This window comes from Homo sapiens, chromosome 2 (genome assembly GCF_000001405.40).
Source record: "Homo sapiens chromosome 2, GRCh38.p14 Primary Assembly".
Taxonomy (NCBI): Eukaryota; Metazoa; Chordata; class Mammalia; order Primates; family Hominidae; genus Homo; species Homo sapiens.
The window spans coordinates 62,008,687-62,030,125 of record NC_000002.12 but is presented as its reverse complement, the minus strand read 5'-3'; the positions used below and the strand labels follow the sequence as shown (position 1 = coordinate 62,030,125).

At 38.9% G+C, this 21,439-nt stretch overlaps 1 protein-coding gene across 7 annotated transcripts in view, besides 1 other annotated feature; it reads right to left on the bottom strand.

Moving 5' to 3' along the window:
* The window catches only part of COMMD1 (copper metabolism domain containing 1), a 247,668-nt gene that overhangs the window by 105,933 nt on the left and 120,296 nt on the right, over window positions 1-21,439 (bottom strand). The window contains exon 3 of one of the 7 annotated variants that reach the window (XM_011532558.3): window positions 12,220-17,422. The exons of the other annotated variants lie outside the window; for them this stretch is intronic. Within the exon in view, the coding sequence (XP_011530860.1) occupies window positions 17,402-17,422 (21 nt within the window). The 3' untranslated portion in view covers window positions 12,220-17,401. Of the gene's footprint in view, window positions 1-12,219; window positions 17,423-21,439 lie in introns of those variants that run through there. 7 annotated transcript variants of the gene reach the window in all.
* Window positions 18,984-19,183: an enhancer, noted in NCBI's record as "active region_15844". NCBI's record gives its function as "activates an Ori minimal core promoter by ATAC-STARR-seq in GM12878 lymphoblastoid cells {active_cell/tissue: GM12878}" and the evidence as "EXISTENCE:reporter gene assay evidence [ECO:0000049][PMID:35858748]".

Below are 21,439 nucleotides of genomic sequence, written 5' to 3'. Positions count from 1 at the left end.
CTCTGAGAGGGCAAGAAGAATCTCAACAGACAGGCTTTGCTGGGTTTCCCCATTAAGTCTATTAGCATTAGATCATACTCTTTTTGTCCAATCATGTTTCTACATGGCTGTCCATACTTTGCTGGACCTAAGCATGAAAATGAACAATTTCCCTATATCTTTGGATCTTTGTTCTGAAGGCTCTCGTGTATACACGTTAAACAAATGTGTATGCCTTTTTTCCTATTAATCAATCTGCTTCTTGTCGGTAATTTTTCAGCAAACCACTGGGGCCGAAGGGCTTGGCTCCCACACATTCTGCAAGGCACAGGACAGTCTTCTACAACAAAAAAATTATCCAGTACAAAATTCCAACAGTGAGAAGTTGAGAGAACCTTTTCTAGGTCTAACAGGAAATACAGGTGTCAGAGAAACATGCTACAGAACTTCATGGGGATGCAATCAGCAAAATCCAGAACACAGGAAACTCTAATTTTCTTTTCAAATGTGATAATGATTACTATATCATGGTTATATATGTAAAGAAACAAAGTTTCTCTTTAAATGATTAAATAAATAATTTTTGGAATTTGCTTCAAAATAATCCAATGGGCAAAGAAATATAGATGAAAACAAGAAGGGATATGGGTTAATAACCATTGAAGCTGGGTAATAGGAATATAGGTACATTATATTATTTTATTTATGCCCATATAATGGATACATTATATATATTTTTTCTGTTTTAAGTTTCCATAATAAAAAATTTTAAAGGGGGTAAAAAAAGACTCCATATATCAAGACAAAATTGGAATCTAATAAAGTGAAATTAGATTTATCTAAATTTGTGAACTTTATGCATACACATATCCTGTTGTATTCTTGGGCTTGTAATTTGATACCAATTGGTAACTGTGCCCAAAGAGTATAACAATTAGATTTGGATATCTAATTTAAAAAAACAATATGAATTTAAAAAACAGTATGTACATCTCATAACATTATTAGCATTTCTATTCTTAGGTACAGTGGATATCTAGCAGTATCTCATATATATGAATCTTCTATCTATAACCATTAAGAATCATTACAAAATAATCATATGGTAGCTAAATAGAATTCTAGCATCCCTTTGGAGAGTCAACCATATCTTCCTACCTATCTCATAAATTGATGGTGAAGCCAATTTCCTTTATTTTCTGGCAACCAGAATGCTACTAGTAAGAAAGACCATTTAGATAAAAGCAGCCTAGGGACAAAAACTGGCAGTTTTTAGGACATCAGTACTCTCACAATAAAAATGAACTTAAATAACTGAAATGAAGTATTCATCAAGCAAGTGTTCATACATTTAGAACAAAATCAGGAAATATTTTAAGTGACTATAATAAAATAATTTGACTATATCTCATTAATGAAATGTATTCAAAGAAGAGTCACTAAAGACAACTGTAATATTAAATTTTATAATCCATCCAATGTAGTAGAATATAACACCCTTTTGGGGAAAAAAAACCTATCCAATAGTTTTATTGGCATCATTATTTTAATCCTTTTTATTTTCCTTTTTTTTGGAGAAAGGCTCTCACTCTGTCGCCTAGGCTGGAGTGCAGTGACACAGTCATGGCTCATGACCTCCCAGACTCAAGTTTTTGTCAAAATCTTCAGTTAGAAGGAAAATAGTACTGCTTTTGAATTACAAAAGACATAGTTACAGTTTGGATAAAGCATTAAAAACTATTTTTTTAAAAAATAATGTTTTGCTAAATTATTACAAAATATTAAAGTGTATCAAGACTTACCCCTACCCAGTGATAGTTCAGAGAAAGCTATCATCTATCTTCTCTCAGAAAACAACACACTTTCCTTTTATATTGAAAAAAGAAGACCTTACTGCAAACCTATGCAGAAGCTTAAAGACAGAGTAATCATGCTGACAACCTGTCCTCTGCAAAGATTCTTAAAAAAAGCCACAATTACTGAAGTCAGCTGGGTAGCAGAAATCTCCATGGTGGCAGTTAGTTGCTACTCTATTCTTCCTAAATACAGTAGTCACTGAGTTTCAATTCTAATGTGAAGAGGACTTTCTACTCCACTGTTTTCTTTAATGCACTGAACAGGCTAACATGGACTATAAAAATCAGGAACTAAATTTAGTTGCTATTATTACCCATTTTTAAAATAAGGCATAGAAGGCCAGGCACGGTGGCTTATGGCTGTAATTCCAGCACTTTGGGAGGTCAAGGTGGGCAGATCACTTGAGCCTAAGAGTTTGAGCAACATAGCAAGAAATTGTCTCTTCAAAAAAATAACAAAAATTAGCCAAGTGTGCTTAGTCCCAGCTACTCATGAGACTGAGGTGGGAGGATCGCTTGAGCCAGGCAGGTGGAGGCTGCAGTGAGCCGAGATAGTACCACTGTACTCCAGCCTGGGTGACAGAGCGAGACCTTGTCTCAAAAAAATAACATAACATAACATAACATAACACAACATAACATAACATAACATAACATAACATAACATAAATTAAGGCATAGGGACTTGCAGGCATTGCTGTCCTTTTCTGTCACAAAATTATACTGAAGATTTAAATGTCTCCAAAATATGCAGAGTAATGCCCATATTCAATACAGTTCTAAAAGAGGTGTTCCAGTGTTGCCAGTAACTTTTACCTACTTGAAAGTGTGACAAAAAAATTATGAATGAAAACAGCCCTATGTAGGGCATGTTACTAAAAGCAATTTTTCTTGGTAGAATAATTACCTATGCTGTAATAAACATTAGTAATAACAGAGTCAACTCATTAGATCAAATTACCACAGAGATGGTAAATATTAGAACCATGATTTTATAAACTCTTACAGCTCTTGATTTTTGTATTAGCCAGAAGAGAAACACAAGCTCATAATATAGAATGCTACACCTATACAGTCCACATAATTCAGAACTTAGGCAAGATATAATAAGCAATATTAAGAAAGAAACTGCTACACTATCCCACATCAATGATTGGGATTTACACTTTTAGGCTAGTGATTTTTTGACAAAAGTGAATAAAAATTTCACATGATATCTCAATAGTACTAAGACAATGGTTATCACTAAATAAATACAAAAAGGATTCAAGTATATACAAAACCAGGTGGTATCAAAATAAGTAGCAAAAGAGAAAATATGAAATTAGAAACCCAAAAAAGAATCATGATTAAAATTAAAAGGAATCATAAGTTACAATGATATTAGATAAGCTTTGGAAAGACTGAATACACATATACATATGTTTATACACATAATATATATTATCTTTAATTTTCAGAACAATCTTTAACAGTATATGTTACTACACTGCCTTAGGAATGAGAAATCTGAGGATCATAATGGTGGGGAGACATGGCTGATTACTATCAGAAGTGGGATTTAAGTCTAGCAATGTCAGGATCCAGAATCCACCATCTTTGTCCTATACCTTTTGTGACAATGTCATCTCCCTAAAGAATACAGTGGCTTTGGTATCAAGGGGTAAGATATAGTTCCAAGAGAGGAACAGCTAAAAGTGAGAGAGATTACTAATCACACAGTGATATAGTTTGGGTATTTGTCCCCACCCAAATCTCATGTTAACATGTAATCTCCAATGTTGGAGGTGGGGCATGGTGGGAGGTGTTTGGGTCGAGGGGGCAGATCCTTTATGGCTTGGTGCAGTCCTCACCATAGTGAGTGAATTCTCAAGAGATCTGGTCATTTAAAAGTGTGTGGCACCACCCACCCTTTTCTTTAGTTCTTGCTATCGCCATGTGAAGTGCCTGCTCTTCCTCTGCCTTCCACCATGAGTAAAAACTCCCTGAAGCCTCCCTAGAAGCCAAGCAAATGCTAGCACCATGCTTCCTGTACAGCCTGCAGAACTGTAGGCCAATTAAACTGCTTTTCTTTATAAAGTACCCAGTCTCAGGTATTTCTTTATAGCAAAGAAAGAACGGCCTAATACATACAGCAACAGGTAGCTGGATGGGTTGCTGAGTTTTATATAAAGTCTGACTGGAATCAGAGAGGCCTGTGTCTGAATTCTGGCTCTACCTTCTACTAGTTGTATGATAATTCACCTCTCCATGCCCGTTTCCCTAAGTGCAAAGTAGGTAGAAGAACAGTGTATCCTGGCCAGGCACAGTAGCTCACACCCGTAATCCCACCACTTTGGGAGGCCAAGGCAGGCAGATCACTTGAGGCCAGGAGTTTGAGACCAGGCTGGCCAACATGGCGAAACCCCACCTCTATCAAAACTATAAAAAAAAAATTAGCCGGGCATGGTAGCACATGTCTGTAATCCCAGCTACTCAGAAGGCTGAGGTGGAAGAATGGCTTGAACCCTGGAGGTGGAGGTTGCAGTGAGCCAAGATCATGCCACTGTATTCCAGCCTGGGTGACAGAGCGACACTCTGACTCCAAAAACAAAATAATTTAAAACACAGACACACAAAAAAACAGTGTATCCCCAGTCATCTTTTACTTACCTGTCAGAAAGCAAATGACATTAGTATTTTTTTATTATTGACTTAGCATCCGTTCTCTACTTTCTGCCTTTGGGGTTGAGTTTGTTTGATTTTGTTTGTTTTTTTTAAAGAGACAGGGCCTTGCTCTGTTCCCCAGGCTGGAATGCAGTGGCACAATCAGAGCTCACTGCAGCCTCTAACTCCTGGGCTTAAGCAATGCCCTCACTTCAGCCTTCCAAGTAGCTGGGACTACAGGTGTGCACCACCATGTTCAGCTAACCTTTTAAGAATTTTTTTGTAGAGATGGGGTGTTGCTATGTTGCCCAGGCTGGTCTTGAACTCCTGGCCTAACATGATCCTCCTGCCTCAACCTCCCAAAGCACTGGGGTGTGAACCACCGTACCCAGCCTGGTTTTTTTTTATTTGTTTGTTTGTTTTTTGAGGCAGAGTCTCGCTCTGTCCCCCAGGCTGGAGTGCAGTGGTGCAATCTTGGCTCATTGCAACCTCCACCTCCCGGGTTGAAGCGATTCTCTTGCCTCAGCCACCCAAGTAGCTGGCATTACAGGTGTGCACCACCATGCCTGGCTAATTTTTGCATTTTTGGCAGAGACAGGGTTCTTGGCCAGGCTGGTCTTGAACTCCTGACCTCAGGTGATCTGCCCGCCTCAGCCTCCTAAAGTGCTAGTATTACAGGCGTGAGCCACCTCGCCTGGCCTTTTCTTTTAAGCATCAAGATTGCACAGGAAACAGGAAAATTCTAGTTCACTAAGAAATAAAGAACAGAACTTATAATAGCATTAATGACTGCTTCTTGTAAACTACCTATATGTACCAATTATTTTGAATTTTTAAACCTGAGTGGAGAGAAAAAGAAATTACAGGTCCGATGGCATCAGATAAATTTGTATAGAAAAAAAATCTTATAAGGCAAATATTCTGAATTTTCAAAATAAGGTAGCTTACATTAATTACATAAGGTAACATTACATTACATATTTACAGAAGCCTATAAACAAAGAACACTCTTAAGAGACTAACTAGGTCGAAAAGGTCTTGTGTAACTTTTAATTTATATAAGCCCCAAAAAAGATATTTGGAGATATTCATAAACAACTTCAAAGTTCCTCCTGAAAGATTCAATACAAAATTCCAGTTTAACTTTGTTGGAATGTAACTATCAATAGCAAAGGATGTATATATAGTATACTACTCTACAGAGTATAATCACATATATTATAATGGAATTTACTAGGCTTGCAATTAACACACACACACAATTAGCCAGCATGGTGGTGCGCGCCTGTAGTCCCAGCTACTCAGTAGGCTGAGGTGGGAGAATTGCTTGAACCCGGGAGGCAGAGGTTACAGTGAGCTGAGATAGCACCACTGCACTCCAGCATGAGTTACAGAGGGAGACCCTGTCTCCACAAAAAACAAAAACAAAAAACAAAAAAATCATCACCGTGAACACCTTTCATCACCGTGAACACTTTTCATGTATTTTCTTTTGGTACTTTTTCCTATGCAAAATATTTATTTATTAAATTTGGATTATGATGGTTGAACAACATTGTGAATATACCAAAATGTTTTTAATGGTATTATATGTAGTTTACCACAATTAACATTTTTTTAAAATTTAGATTATACTATGTATGCAATTCTGTATCTTGCTTTTACTTCCACTGAACATTATTTCATAAACATTTTCCAATATTGGTCTGTAACAACACTGATTTTTTTTAAATGACTGTAGAGTATTCCATAGAGTAGATATAACCATTGTATTCTCCTGTTCTTCCCTTTCCTCCCATTCATTCCCTATTATTGGACATTCAGTTGTTTCTAATTTTCTACCACATAAATTCCACAATAGGCCAAGCGCCGTGGCTCATGCCTGTAATCCCAGCACTTTGGGAGGCCAAGGCGGGCGGAACACCCAAGGTCAAGAGTTTGATACCAGCCTGGCCAACATGGTGAAACCCCGTCTCTACTAAAAATACAAAAAATTAGCCAAGCGTGGTGGCGTGCACCTGTACTCCCAGCTACTCAGGATGCTGAGGCAGGAGAATCGCTTGAACCCAGGAGGTGAAGCTTGCAGTGAACCAAGATTGCTCCACTGCACTCCAGCCTGGGTGACAAGAGAGAAATTCTGTATTAAAAAAAAAAAAATCCACAGTAAATATTTGCATATATAAATATTTGTAGAATCTTGGGTTGTTTCTTTAGGCTAAATTCCTGTGGGTACCTCTTCTTCCTCACAATACACACATTCAGTTTTTCTCTTTGTTTTGGATTTAAGTTTAACAAATGTTTACATACAGTGTTAAAGGCTACTATGTCTTCCCTTATTCCATTTTCCATTTTCCACTCCTCAGGGGTACCTACTATTCTAAATTTTGTGTTTGCATTCTCATGCTTTTTTTTTTTTTTGAGACAGAGTTTTGCTCTTGTTGCCCAGGCTGGAGTACAATGGCACGATCTCAGCTCATTGCAACCTCCACCTTCCAGGTTCAAGCGATTCTCCTGTCTCAGCCTCCTAAATAGCTGGGATTACAGGCATGTGCCACCATGCCCAGCTAATTTTATATTTTTAGTAGAGTCGAGGTTTCACCATGTTGGTCAGGCTGGTCTCGAACTCCTGACCTCAGGTGATCTGCCCACCTCGGCCTCCCAAAGTGCTGGGATTACAGGTGTGAGATTTTTAAAGTGAACTGGATATTCTGAAAAGCTTTATATAAATGGTGTCCATGAAGTACATTTACTTCCCTTACTACTTAGGAATGAAACTCAGCGACTAGCACTTACATTGGACTCTAAACGATCCCTGGCTTTAAGCCTCACTCATCACCTCACTCTTTTGATTCCATTTCAGGTTCACAGACATGTTGATCTTTCCTTAATGTGGCTAAGTCTTTTCAATTTCTACATTTATCTATCATTTCTACTAAAGTAGAGGGGGTGCAAAGTATGAATTTACAAAAATCATTTTATTCAGAAGTATTTCCAATTAATTGTTTTAAAAAAAAAGTGATATGCAGCTATTGATTTGGCCAAAAAAAAAAAAATGGTGAAACTAGAATTAAAACACATTCCAAAGACAACATCCAAACATTGTTAAAAATACTTTACCCTTATGATTTGTTTGTTTACCAAGTGCCTCAACATACACTGGCCTCGGCTTCATGTAAAAAAAAAAAAAAAAAAAAAAGAAGCGCCGGTAAATAATATTAGAAGACTCATGCTAAAATATCTAACTTATAGTTTCTAGAACTATCCTTCTTTATAATCAAAATTCAAAAGAAAAAAAAAAAGGAGCAAAACCAAATTCCAGGAACTAGGGTCAAGCAATTTTCTTAAGAGTCTGACAGAGGAGTTAAAAACTACATTATAGAAAATCTCCTAAAACCTGTATTGTATACGATTGTATACTATCTGCCCTCAATGTATAAGAACAGACATATATTCACCAGTTGGGATTCCCACACTCTAAAATAAAATGAAACAAGAAAATTCATTCAACCCCTACCTTACTCCCTATATAAAAACTGATTCCAAGTAGATCAACAATCTAAATATAAGATCTACATAGGGGTAAATCTTCATGAATCAGATTTGGCAATGGATTCTTAGATTTGATGCCAAAGCACAAACAAAAAAAAATAGGAGTTTATAAAAATTAAAAACCTTTGTACATCAAAGAGCATTATCGAGAAAGTGAAAAGACATTCTACAGAAGAAAACACAAATCAAGTATCTGTTAGAGAGTTTAACCCTGATGTTAAAAACACAGTGATTAAAACACTGTGAAACTTCAACAACAAAAAGACAAGCCAATTTTTGAAAGCATGTATGACTTTAAGCATGTAATATTCTTTTCCATGGTATTCTTTATGGTTATACAGGGCAAAGTTATATAGACTTGCCCTCCAACTTTGCCTCTGGAGTGGTGTTTCCATTCTTCAGCTTAATACAAAAGCTAATGATATAAACATTAAGATATAAAAGGTATTAATCTGCTTGACTCAAAGAGTTTATTATGAAGAGAAACTGGAAAACTTTCCACCAAACCAACCATGTTAAGAAAGTGAGGAGGCCAGGCCACTGTCAATACTTCTCTGATCCTGTACTTTCCATTTCTCCAATCTGTCTTTGACCCCCTCCAACTTTGTCTCTCTCAGTCTTTTTTCATTTGCTTATTAAAGATACACATTTCTCAAAGCTCCACCCTTAGCTTTCCTTCTGCTCCTCAATCTCTTCAATTCCACTGAACAAATGCTGAAGACTCCCAGACCTCTCATTTTGCCAAGTCTACACCACTGTAACAAAGACTCAAATTTCCAAACTCCTAATAAATATCTCAAGAGCAGTTGAACAAAAAGGAGCCAGAACTTGCTGGTTTTGAAGATTCCCAGTCTCTCACACGCAAAAAATACTAAAACAAAAAATGGCTTCCCAGCAAAATTCAAATCCCAAGTACTGTCAAGAAAACGATCTAAAAGATGTGGTTGAGGACACAGCTATAAAATTCAACCTTGGTGAGATCCCAGATCATGCCTCTGAGTACTATTCAATTAGACAAAAGGCCTCCTAAAGATTTTAAAGGTGTGACTTACAGATTATTTTAATCAAAGAGTAGAGTTTTTTTTTTTTTTTGAGACGGACTTTTGCTCTTGTTGCACAGGCTGGAGTGCAATGGCGCAATCTCGGCTCACCGCAACCTCTGCCTCCCAGGTTCAAGCAATTCTCCCGCCTCAGCCTCCTGAGTAGCTGGGATTACAGGCATGCGCCATGACGCCTGGCTAATTTTTTTTGTATTTTTAGTAGAGATGGGGTTTCTCCATGTTGGTCAGGCTGGTCTCGAACTCCTGACCTCAGGTGATCTGCCCACCTCAGCCTCCCAAAGTGCTGGGATTACAAGCGTGAGCCACCACGCCCAACCATCAAAGAGGAGAGTTTCTAAGAAGCTAAAAGCTATTGCCTCTCAGCGGAATTTCAAGAACGAGAATGGCTTATCTCAAAGAGATTTTTAGGTGTGACTTTTGTTTAAGGAAGTGAGCCCAAATATTAACAGGAGACCCATAAGGTTTTGAAGAAAGTTATATTGGCAGAAACACTGCCCATTTCGACTGAAAGAGACAGAAATAGTACAAAATGAAAAGAGGGCCTTGGACTCCCAAACATCTACAGGTTGGAAGTGGATAGAGGAATCTACACAGCTGCAAAAAAAAGCCTACTTTCCTACTTTTCACAGAAAAGAAAACTCAGAGTGTGGAAACAAAAGCCCAGAAGGACGAGCTAAGAGCCATAATGAATTATTTCCAGACCTGTATTTTAATCAAGGAATTACCAACCTGTGCCCAGCTGAATTTCAAAAATGGTGTGACGTAACGACACCTTTGTACCAACATTTTCCCTCTGTTTGAACAAGAATGTCTACACTAGTTATCATACACCTGACCAATCATTGCATCTTGGTTATGTGTGGGGCAAACAATTTGCCTCTTTAGTTTCACAGGTCTTCACATAGAGAAGTAATGTACTCAAGGAGCTGAAGAAACTACATACATCTGAGGAGCCTCATCCAAAACTGGACCTAATTTAGATGACAATATCCTGGACTGTAAGCTGATGCTATAAATGAGAATTCTGCAGAATAATAGGAGGGGGTGAGTGTATTCTGCACGTGGGATGAATGTAAATAATCTGTGGCTGAAGAGTGTATTGTAGAGATTTAGAATATGTTCACAAATTCTCTGACACCTCCTTCAAAATGTAGAGCCAATCTTCCCTCCTCTTGAGTGCGGGCTGGAGTGACTTGTTTCTACAATAATAAAAAAGCAAATTCTGAAGAACTGAGTTGGGAGAGAGAAAAATAGTAACTTTTCAGTGGATACATCTGATAAACACTACCTTAACCAAGTGGTAAAGGTTAACATCAACAGTGATGACATGTGGATTGCATCTATCGCCTAACATGGTGTGACAAGAAAGCTACTTCACCTCTGTTGTGCTCTTTCCCAAAATCCACTACTATGGTCTGAATGCGTCCCCCAAAATTCATGTGTTAGAAACTTAAACCCCAGTGCAGCAGTGTTGGGAGGTAGGGCCTTTTGGGAGATGTTTATATCATGAGGGCTCCACTCTCATGAATGGATTAATGCCATTATGAAAAGAGCTTTTAGGGCCGGGTGCAGTGGCTCACACCTATAATCCCAGCACTTTGGGAGGCCAAGGCAGGTGAATCTCTTGAGGTCAGGAGTTTGGGACCAGCCTGGCCAACATGGTGAAACCCCATCTCTACTAAAAATACAAAAAATTAGCTGGGTGTGGCGGTGGGTGCCTGTAATCCCAGGTACTTGGGAGACTGAGGCAGAAGAATTGCTTGAACCCAGGAGGCAGAGGTTGTAGTGAGCTGAGATCGCGCCATTGCACTCCAGCCTGGGCAACAAGAGTGAAACTCCATCAAAAAGAAAATGAAAGAAAAGAGAAAGGAGGAAAGAGAAGGAAGGAAGGAAGGAAGGAAGGGAGGGAGGGAGGGAGGGAGGGAGGGAGGGAAGAGAGAGAGAGAAAGAAAGAGAGAGAGAAAGAGAGAGAGAAAGAAAGGAAGGAAGGAGGGAGGGAGGGAGGGAGGGAAGTTGGTTGGTTGGTTGTAGGAGTGGGTTTGCTCTCTTCTATTCTTCTACCATGTGAGGACACAGTGCTCCTGCTCTCTGGAGGATGCAGTATTCAAGGCACCCTCTTGGCAGCAGAGACCAGGCCTTCACCAAACACAAAACCTACTAGCACCTCAATCTTGGACTCCCAGCCTACAGAACTATGAGAAATTAAATTTCTGTTCTCAATAAATTATCCAGGCTCAGGTATTCTGTTATGGCAGCACAAAACACACTAAGACACCTATAAACCAATCTAACCATGAGAAAAACAACAGACAAGCACAGATTAGAGGACACACTATAGGATACTTGGCTAGTATTCTTCAAGACTGTCAAGGTCATTTCATAATGTACATATATATCAAAACATCGAGTTTTTTTACGCCTTAAATATATGCCATTTGAATTTGCCAACTATATCCCAATAAAGCCGGAAAATAACCATAATGCTCATTAAAAACTGAAACAGTGATCTGACATGATTGGGAGACATGATAAGTAAGTGCAATTTAGCTTGTTAGCAATTTAGTGGTAGCTTGGATTTAATCCTGGAACAGAAAGGGAATATTAATGGAAAAACTGCTGAAATAGAAATAAAATCTGGAGTTTAGTTAGTAACAAAGTACTACTTTTAGTTTTTTATTTTGACAAAAGTACCTTTGTATCATATTGGTTTTGTTTGTCCAGCATGCCTAATTCCTTTGGTGAACTGCTCCTCACTTATTCCCTGTGGTATCAGCTGTCAATTTATACCTTCCCTAAATTACCCTAATTCCAATGAACAGTGACTTCCCCCTGGGTAGCCATGTGCCATGTGACCTAAGCAGGGAAAATAAGAATCCACCTTTCATCAATATACATGTGTTGGGAAGACGGAAGTACCTGAAAAGATGCGTATGGGCCTGCTACCCATGATCTTACCTCCACATAAAGTCAGACTTTTTTTTTTTTTTGAGATAGGTCATGCTCTGACGCCCAGGCTGGAGTGCAGAGGTACAATCATGGCTCACTGCAGCCTCAATCTCCCCTCCCAGGCTCCAGTGATCCTCCTATCTCAGCCTCCCAAGTAGCTGAGACTACAGGTGCATGCCACCATGCTCAGGTAATTTTAAAAATTTTTTGTAGAGATGGGGTCTTCCTGTGTTGCCCAGGCTGATCTTGACCTCCTGTTCTCAACTCAAACAATCGTTCTGCCTTGGCCTCCCAAAGTGCTGGTATTATAGGCGTGAGCCACCATGCCCAGCCTGAAGTCAGCGTTTTTAAAGAATTACATGAACAGAGCCACACAGCCAAAAGATACCTTCATTTTTCTTTTTTTTTTCTTTTTTTGGAGACAGGGTCTCACTCTTGTCACCCAGGCTGGAGTGCAGTGGCATGATCACAGCTCACTGCAGCCTCAAACTCCTGGGCCCAGGCAATCCTCCCACTTCAGTCTACCAAGCAGCTGGGACTACAGGTGTGCACCACCATGCCCTGCTAATTTTTTTTAATTTTTTGTAGAGATAGGGTTTCACCATGTTGCCCAGGCTGGTCTTGAACTCCTGGGCTCAAGTGATCTGCCTGCCTTGGCCTCTCAAAGTGTTAGCATAAGAGGCATGAGCCATTGCACCCAGCCTTTAAATGATATTCTAAGAAGACTAGGCTGTTTTCTTTAGACTAAGAAGTGTGTGTGTGGACGGAGGCCAGTATCACAGGATCAAAGATCAAACTAATTTTGTGATCAACACTGTTACATTCACTAGGTTTATCATAATTCAGTTCAGGCTTTTGTACTGTATCCACAAGACTATAAAATGGCTCATTAAAATTCAGATATATTTCCTCTGTTATTGACTTATAATCCACTTAGGTTAATAACTCTGGCAATAAAAAGGAAGTTTAGCTTATTTGGCAGTTAATCTGAGCTGGTTCCTAGAGACTACCACTCATTAATGTCTTGGGTGATAAGAGCTCTGTTTAATTAATTATACAGAGTTATCTAGAAAATTCAGAAACATGATAAATTTACAACTTATCAGCTTCAAGTTCAGAAGTCCTTTTTTCTGTTTCCCTAGTAGCATAAATCATTTTTTAAAAATCCATACAAAATGTTAAGAATGGCCTCATATCATATGAAAAAATTAACTCGAGTGGATCAAAGACCTAAGCCTAAGAGTGAAAACTATAGAACCCTTAGTAGAAAACAGAGAGGAAAAGTTTCATGACATTGGATTTGGCAATGACTTCTTGGATAGGATACCAAAAGCACAGGCAACAAAAGTAAAAATAAACTGGACCACATCAAAATTTAAAACTTTTATGCATCAAAGGATATGATCTGGAGGGGAGTGAAAACCCAGACCGGGAGAAAATATTTGCAAATCCATATATCTAATATGTGATTGATATCCTGAATACATTTAAAAAAACTCCTACAACTCAACAACAAAAAAAACAATAAAAGTGCATAAAATGAGTTCAGGTGTTTGGTGTAGGAAAAAAAAAAAAAAAGAGGCTGGGTTCAGTGGCTCATGCTTATAATCCCAGCACTTTGCAAGGCCGAGGCAGTGGCTTGCTTCAGCCCAGGAGTTCAAGACCAGCCTGGGCAACATGGCAAAACCCCGTCTCTACAAAAAATATAAAAAATTAACCAGGCATGGTAGCTTGCACCTGTAGTCCCAGCTACTCAGGTGGCTGAGGTGGGAGGAACACTGGAGCTTGGGAGGCAGAGGTTGCAGTGAGCCGAGATTGTGCCACTGCACTCCAGCTTGGGCGATAGAGCAAGACCCTGTCTCGAAAAAAAAAAAAAAAAAAAGAAAAGAAAAGAAAAAAGAGAGACAAAAAGAAAAGAAAGAAAAATAAAAAAGATTTTTGAAAATGGGCAAACCTGGCCGGGCATCGTGGCTCACGCATGTAATCCCAGCACTTTGGGAGGCCAAGGCAGGTAGATTGCCTGAGGTCAGGCGTTCAAGACCAGCCTGGCCAAAAGTGGTGAAACCCTGTCTCTACTAAAAATACAAAAATTAGCCAGGTGTGGTGGTGTGTGCCTGTAATCCCAGCTACTCAGGATGCTGAGCAAGAGAATGACTTGAACTTGGGAGGCGGAGGTTTCAGTGAGCCAAGATTGCACCACTGCACTCCGGCCTGGGAGATGGAGCAAGACTCTTGTCTCAAAAAAACAAACAAAAAGGGCAAACCCAATAAGCACATAAAAAGATGTTCAACATCTCTAATCATTAAGGACTTCAACTCAAAACTAAATGAGATACCACTTTATATACATTCGGATGACAACTATCAAAAAAAAAAAAGAAAAAAAAAAAAAACCCAGAAACTAACAAGTGTTAGTGAGGATGTACAGAAACTGGAAACTTCATGTACTGCAAAAAACCGTAAAATTGAGCAACTGCTGTAGAAAATAGTTTGTCAGTTCCTTAAAAAGTTAAAACATAGAATTACCGTATGATCCAACAAGTCCACTCCTAGTATATACCCAAAAGAATTAAAAACAGAGACTAAAATAGATATTTGTATACCCATGTTCACAGCAGATTAGTCACAAGAGCCAAAAGGTGGAAACAACTCAAATATCCATCAACAGATAAATGGATAAACAAAATGTGGTATATGTACACAATGGAATATTATTCAGCCTTTAAAAGGAATGAAATCCTGATATGTACTACAACAACGATAAAAGTTGAAGACACTATGTGTAAAATAAACCAGACACAAAAGGACAAATATTGTGTGGTTCTATTTATATGAGGTACCTAGAATAGGCAAATACACAGAGAAAAAAGTAGAAAAGAGGTTACCAGGGGCTGAAGAGATGGAAATTGGGAATTATTGTTTAATGTGTACTGAATTTCTGTTTGGGATTTAAAAAAGAAAGATCTGCAAATAGTGGTGATGGTTATACAACATCATGAATGGGTTGGATGCAGTGGCTCATCTGTAATCCGAGTGCTTTGGGAGGTGGAGGCAGGAGGACTGCTTGAGCCCAGGACTTGAGGCTACAGTAAGCTATGATCATGCCACTGTACTCCAGCCTGGGTGGCAAGACTGCCATCTCTTAAAAAAGAAAACCATCTGTACTTAATACCACTGGGCTGTACTTAATACCACTGGACTGTACACTTAAAAACTGCTGAAATGGCCGGGCGCAGTGGCTCACACCTGTAATCCCAGCACTTTGGGAGGCTGAGGGGGGTGGATCATGAGGTCAGGAGTTCAAGACCATACTGGCCAAGCCAATATGGTGACACCCCATCTCTACTAAAAATACAAAAATTAGCCTGGCGTGGTGGTGCACACCTGTAGTCCCAGCTACTCGGGAGGCTGAGACAGAAGAATCGCCTGAACCCAGGAGGTAGAGGTTGCAGTGAGCCAAGATTGCACCACTGCATTCCAGCCTGGGTGACAGAGCAAGACTCTGTCTCAAAAAAAAAAAAAAAAAAAAAAAAAAAAAAAAAAAAAGGTTAAAATGGTAAAATTTTGTTATGTGTATTTTACCACAATTTTTTTTTTTTAAGTACTAAAGAAGGGCTTGGGCCAGAGGCCTTCTACATTTATCTTGGCAATAGAGCAGTGGCATACATGGAATGAAGCCCAGAGCCAACCAGCCAGTACACACATACTAGACAAACACAGGCAGTTCAACACTGCTGGGCAGGATACACTGTTGCCCTGAGTTTAGGACAAGGGATTTATATCCAAAAATTGCTTCCAAGTCCTCTTAAGGCTTGGCTTCCTGGCTTCCTCTCAAGCACCCCATCTGTCTGCAAGAATAGAAACAGACAGCCTGAACAGCTGAACGAAGTCCAACACCAGGGGCTGCGTGCTGGCAAGCTACTAGTCAGAGGCTGAGGACTTCAGCAGTGCCAAAGCCCTATTCTCACAGGGTCAATGAATCTGCAAAGACACTCATCTTTTTCTCTCCTCCTCTTTAAATCATTTTATTGGGTATAGTATACATAAGAAAGGGCACATCATAAGAAACAATGATTTTCTTTTAAAGTCTATAAAAAATTTATGTTCAGTAATCTCAAGTGCATCTCTCTGTAAGTTGAGAGTTTTAAAAATAAAATTACTTCAGCACAAACAACATCTTCTTAACTGCCAAATGTTAAATGATTTCTTTCATATTTTTCCCCAAGTGGAAGGGGTAATTATAGCTACCAGAAAACTCAAGTTGTATGTTAGACAGTCAACACTGCAATAAGACTGTTTTAACAATGACTAGAATTACCAAATTATGCTAACATAGTCTTACAAGAAAAAACAAGGTGTTACCCCCAATTCCTCACTTTCTCTCATTCTCTACATCCCTTCCAAGTCAACTCAAAGCAACTCACCCATATTCAAAACCTACACTCTACCTGCTCACTTCACTTCCTTAAAATTACCTCTATTTCCATGCCGTTATCTCACCTGGACCACTGTGAGAGCCCAGTAAGTGGCCTCCTGCTTTCACTTTTTTCCCCCTACAATACTGATTTTTATTAGTTATCCCTAGGTTTGACAAACAAGTTTTGGAACATATTATAATAAAAAAAGTTTTTAAAGGAAGGGACCTGTCATAAATGAGAAACAGAGATGGAAATGTGGAATGGAGATTGTGAGAAGTCCATGTAAACTCATTTCTACTATTTTTTGGAGTGGAATATTAATATTGGCTCCATTCATTTCTGAATACCTCATCTTATTAAGAGAATGAAGGATAACAGTTTTTCTTTTTGTTGTTTTGTATTTTTTTTTTCCTTGAAATCCCATTTACCTAATTAACATCACATGGAGGTTTCAAGGAAAAAGAGAATTGCTTTTAATGTGCAGAAAAGCAATTCCAACCTTAGTGATATTTTCCCCCTGGGATCTCAGTATCCCAGTACTGAGATCCCAGAAATCCATTCTCCATAGGTGAATCAAGGCAATCCTATTAGAATATAAGTCACATCACATCTTTCCTTGTTTAAAACCCTCTAATGGCTTCCCATTACACTTAAAATTCTTAACAAGGCTAATTTCTTGCCTTGGTTGCTCCCTCTGCCTGTATTTTGTGCCCCCAGATCTTCCTGGGGCTGCCTCCTTCTTGTCATTCAAAGCTCAGCTCACCTCAGAGAAGAAATCTTCCTTCACTCAAATTAAAGTAAAGCCACTTACTTTGAGATGGGGTCTGGGCATCTTAATTTCTTTTTAAGCTCCTCAGATGAGTCTGACATATAGTGATGCTTTGAATCACTAGCTAAGTGAATCTTCCTTTTGCTTATAATAGCTTTTCTGCCAATTTACTTCTTGCTACTTCTTACTGACAGCGGGCTGAAAAAATGGAAAATCAACATTGTGGGAGGTGGTGAGAAAGAAATGGCAATCACTAGGGACTTGTACTAAATCACTGCCAAAGGGGCCGGGTGCGGTGGCTCACTCCTGTAATCCCAGCACTTTGGGAGGCCCAGGCGGGTGGATCAACTGAGGTCGGGAGTTCAAGACCAGCCTCACCAACATGGAGAAACCCCGTCTCTACTAAAAACACAAAATTAGCTGGGCGTGGTGGTGCATGCCTGTAATCCCAGCTACTCAGGAGGCTGAGGCAGGGGAATTGCTTGAACCTGGGAGGCAGAGATTGCGGTGAGAGCCACTGCACTCCAGCCTGGGCAACAAGAGTAAGACTCCATCTCAAAAAAAAAAAAAAAAATCACTGCCAAAGGTCACGTGTGTGTGTGTGTGTGTGTGTGTGTGTGTGTGTGTGTGTATGTGTGTGTGTTTGAGACAAGGTCTCACTCTGTCACCCAGGCTGGAGTGGAATGGCGTGATCTTGGCTCACTGCAACCTCCGCCTCCTGGGTTCAAGTGATTCTCGTTCCTCAGCCTCCCAAGCAGCTGAGATTACAGGTGCATGCCACCACACCCAGCCCCAGCTAATTTTTTTGTATTTTTTAGTAGAGACGGAGTTTCACCAGGTTGGCCAGGCTGGTCTCAAACTCCTGACCTCAAATGATCCACCTACCTCAGCCTCCCACAGTGCCAGGATTACAGGCACGAGTCACTGCGCCCAGTCATACATCTATGCATTAAATGCAAAGATATGTTCATAAACTCTAGAGAATCCATCTTGCCTGTATCAACTTTTTTGTTGTTCTTATTTCATGATTCTCAGCTCTGGATCACAGAGTTTACGATGTTGGAAAAATCATATGTAAATGTCACCTCTTAAGAACTGCCTTCTTCAACTTCCTGGGTAAAGATAGCCATTCCATCTTTTGAGCTTTGGTAAGGCTCTTCCATCTCTGATAAAATTTCTTACACTAATTATTAACAACTTTCTTTCACTGTGAGCTCCATAAGATAATAAACTTGTCTGTATTGTTCACTGATACATCCTCAACTCCTATGTAGTGTCTGACACATAGGAGATGCTTTATAGTGAGTTACGTGATTTATCCACTCAAGAAATATTAACTGAACACCATGTGCCGGGAGGCATCCAAGACTGTGAGGATGCAGCAATTAAAAAAAAAAAATCTTTGTCCTCTTAAATGCTAATCTGGAGCACTGACAAGATTAATAAGTAAAATAGCATGCTAGGTAGTAATAAGTAACAAGAAGAAAAACAACTAAAGTAACAAAAGGCAGACCAGCAGTTGTCCACAAATTGTGGATGACTGTAAAGGGACACAGTCCCCATTTAGGGGCTGAGGAACGTGTTCTGGTTCTTGACTGTACTGGTGTTTTCACAGACATGTACACCAGCCAAAATTAACCAAATTGTACACTTTAAATAAATAGTTTATTGTATTATACATTGTCAATTGTAAATATAAAACATAAAGCAGGACATGGAGAATTCTTTTAGAGAGGTAGCTGGTGAAGGCCTAATGAGAAGGTGATTAAAAAAAACAAAAGACTTTAAGGAAGTGAAAAGGCTAGCCATATCTGGAGTAAGACGAATTGAGAAAGAGGCAAGAGCAAGTATACAGGTCCTGAAGATCCCTGGAATGTTTCAGAAATTAGCAACAAGGCCAGTGGGTCTAGCTAGAGTAGACGAAGTAAGGGAGAGAACTATTAATCTGACTGACACAGAAAGCCACTGGAGTGAACTGGAAAGCCATGAATATATTTTCTGAGTTATGCATTAACAGTCATTCTGGATGCTGTGTGTTGAAAACAGACTGAAAAGCAGAAACAGAGACATCGGTTAGGAGGATGTTATAATCTAGGAGAGAGGTGATGGTGATCTAAACAGAGTAGTTGGGGGTGGTGAGAAGTGTTCAAATTTTAGATATATTTTAAAAACAGACCCAGCAAGATTTGATGGTGGAATGGATGTGGGTAGGAGAAAACAAAAAGATATGAACTGGAAGAATGGAGGTGCCACTAACTGAGATGAGAAAAAATGCAGGGGGAACAGGTTTTGGAGATATATGAGGAACTTAGTTTTGGGCATATTCAATTTTTGATACCTTTTACACATTTAAGTCAGGATCTCCAGTATGTCATAAATATGTATCTGAAATTTAGGGGAGAAATCCAGTTTGGAGATATACATTTGGGAGTCATTACCATATAGATGGTATTTAAATGCAAGGAATTACATGAGATCAACTAGGAAGTGAGTTGTAAAAAGGAAGAAAAGAAGATCGAGGACAGAGTTCAAGGGTACACCAACATTTAGATGTTGTGAGGATTAGAAGGAAGCTGCAAAAGAGATTTTAAAAGAAAAAAAAAAGAGCTAGAAGGCTAGCAGGAAAATCAGGCAAATGCGGTATTCTGGAAGACAAATATTTCAAAGACAAGGTAATTCAAGTATGTCAAATGTTGATTATGGATCCAGTAACTAAAATCTCAAGACTATTATTTAAAACGAGAATAAATGCAAAAACATTATATAAATTTTAAAGGAAAGACTTAGCTAAGAAAAAGAAGTACTGTATTAACAGTACAGCAGTCTAATCTACAATACATCAAAAATATTAAATATCACTTATTATAATCCTTATGTAAAACATTCCCAAAAATTTCTACTTTTCAACTGGTAAGTTATGAATAACTGAATACTTCTGATTTTAATGTTTTCAAAACTAAAAAGCATTAAACTTACATTTTTATTTCACTAGTTACTACAAGTATTTCACTAGCCATTCACTAGAATTCACAAGAATAGTCCTTTCACTATTCATTATAACTAGTAATGCTTTTAAAAGGGGTTTTTCTTAGCTTTTTTATTTTTTATTTTATTTTACTTTGTTAAAACATTCCCTTCTCCACAAAGTATGTTTACAAATAGCTAATTCAGAGTTAGCTTGAATTTCAATAATAAGTTTTAGATTTTCATAGATTTTTTTAACAAGTGTGTGAAAGCAAAAATTATAACAACTTTCTAAGGAAACAAAATTTCTTATTCTTTCTTTTTTTTTTTTTTTTTGAGACAGTCTCACTCTGTTGCCCAGGCTGGAGTACAGTGGTGTGATCTTGCCTCACTGCAACCTCTGCCTCCCAGTTCAAGCGATTCTCCTACCTCAGCCTCCCAAGTAGTTGGGACTACAGGCATGTGCCACTATGCCTGGCAAACTTTTGTATTTTCAGTAGAGACTGGGTTTTACCAAGTTGCCCAGGCTGATCTCGAACTCCTGACCTCAGGTGATCCGCCCGCCTCAGTCGCCCAAAGTGCTGGGATTACAGGCATGAGCCACCATGCCCAGTCTTATTCTTTCTTTTTTCTCTTATAAACTTTAAGCATTGCCTTCTATAAATTATACCTTTAAATTCAACTGTAAGTTGAAGACCATAACTTTAGAACACAAACTATTATGGAACACTTCTTAGAGCTACAAAAAGAGTTGACTCATTCAGAATTAAAGTTTAAGTAAATTCCATGTTCTAAATCTGATATAAAATACGAAATGGAAAATTCCTTTATCTGTTTTTTTTTAAAGTATTCTAGACCGGGCCCGGTGGCTCACACCTGTAATCCCAACACTTTGGGAGGCCGAGGTGGGCGTATCACTTGAGGTCAGGAGTTCAAGACCAGCCTGGCCAACATGGTAAAATGCTGTCTCTACTAAAAATGCAAAAATTAGCCAGGAGTGGTGGTGCATGCCTGTAGTGCCAGCTACTTGGGAGACTGAGGCAGAAGAATCACCACTTGAGCACGGGAGGCAGAGGTTGCAGTGAGCCAAGAGCATGCCACTGCACTCCTGCCTGGGCAACAGAGGGAGACTCTGTAAGTAAGTAAATAAATAAACAAACAAATAAATAATGTATTCTAAAATGATTTAAGTATCTTCAAGCTGTTAAATTTTATCAATCCCTACTGACAAATGATAGTTGAATATCTTAT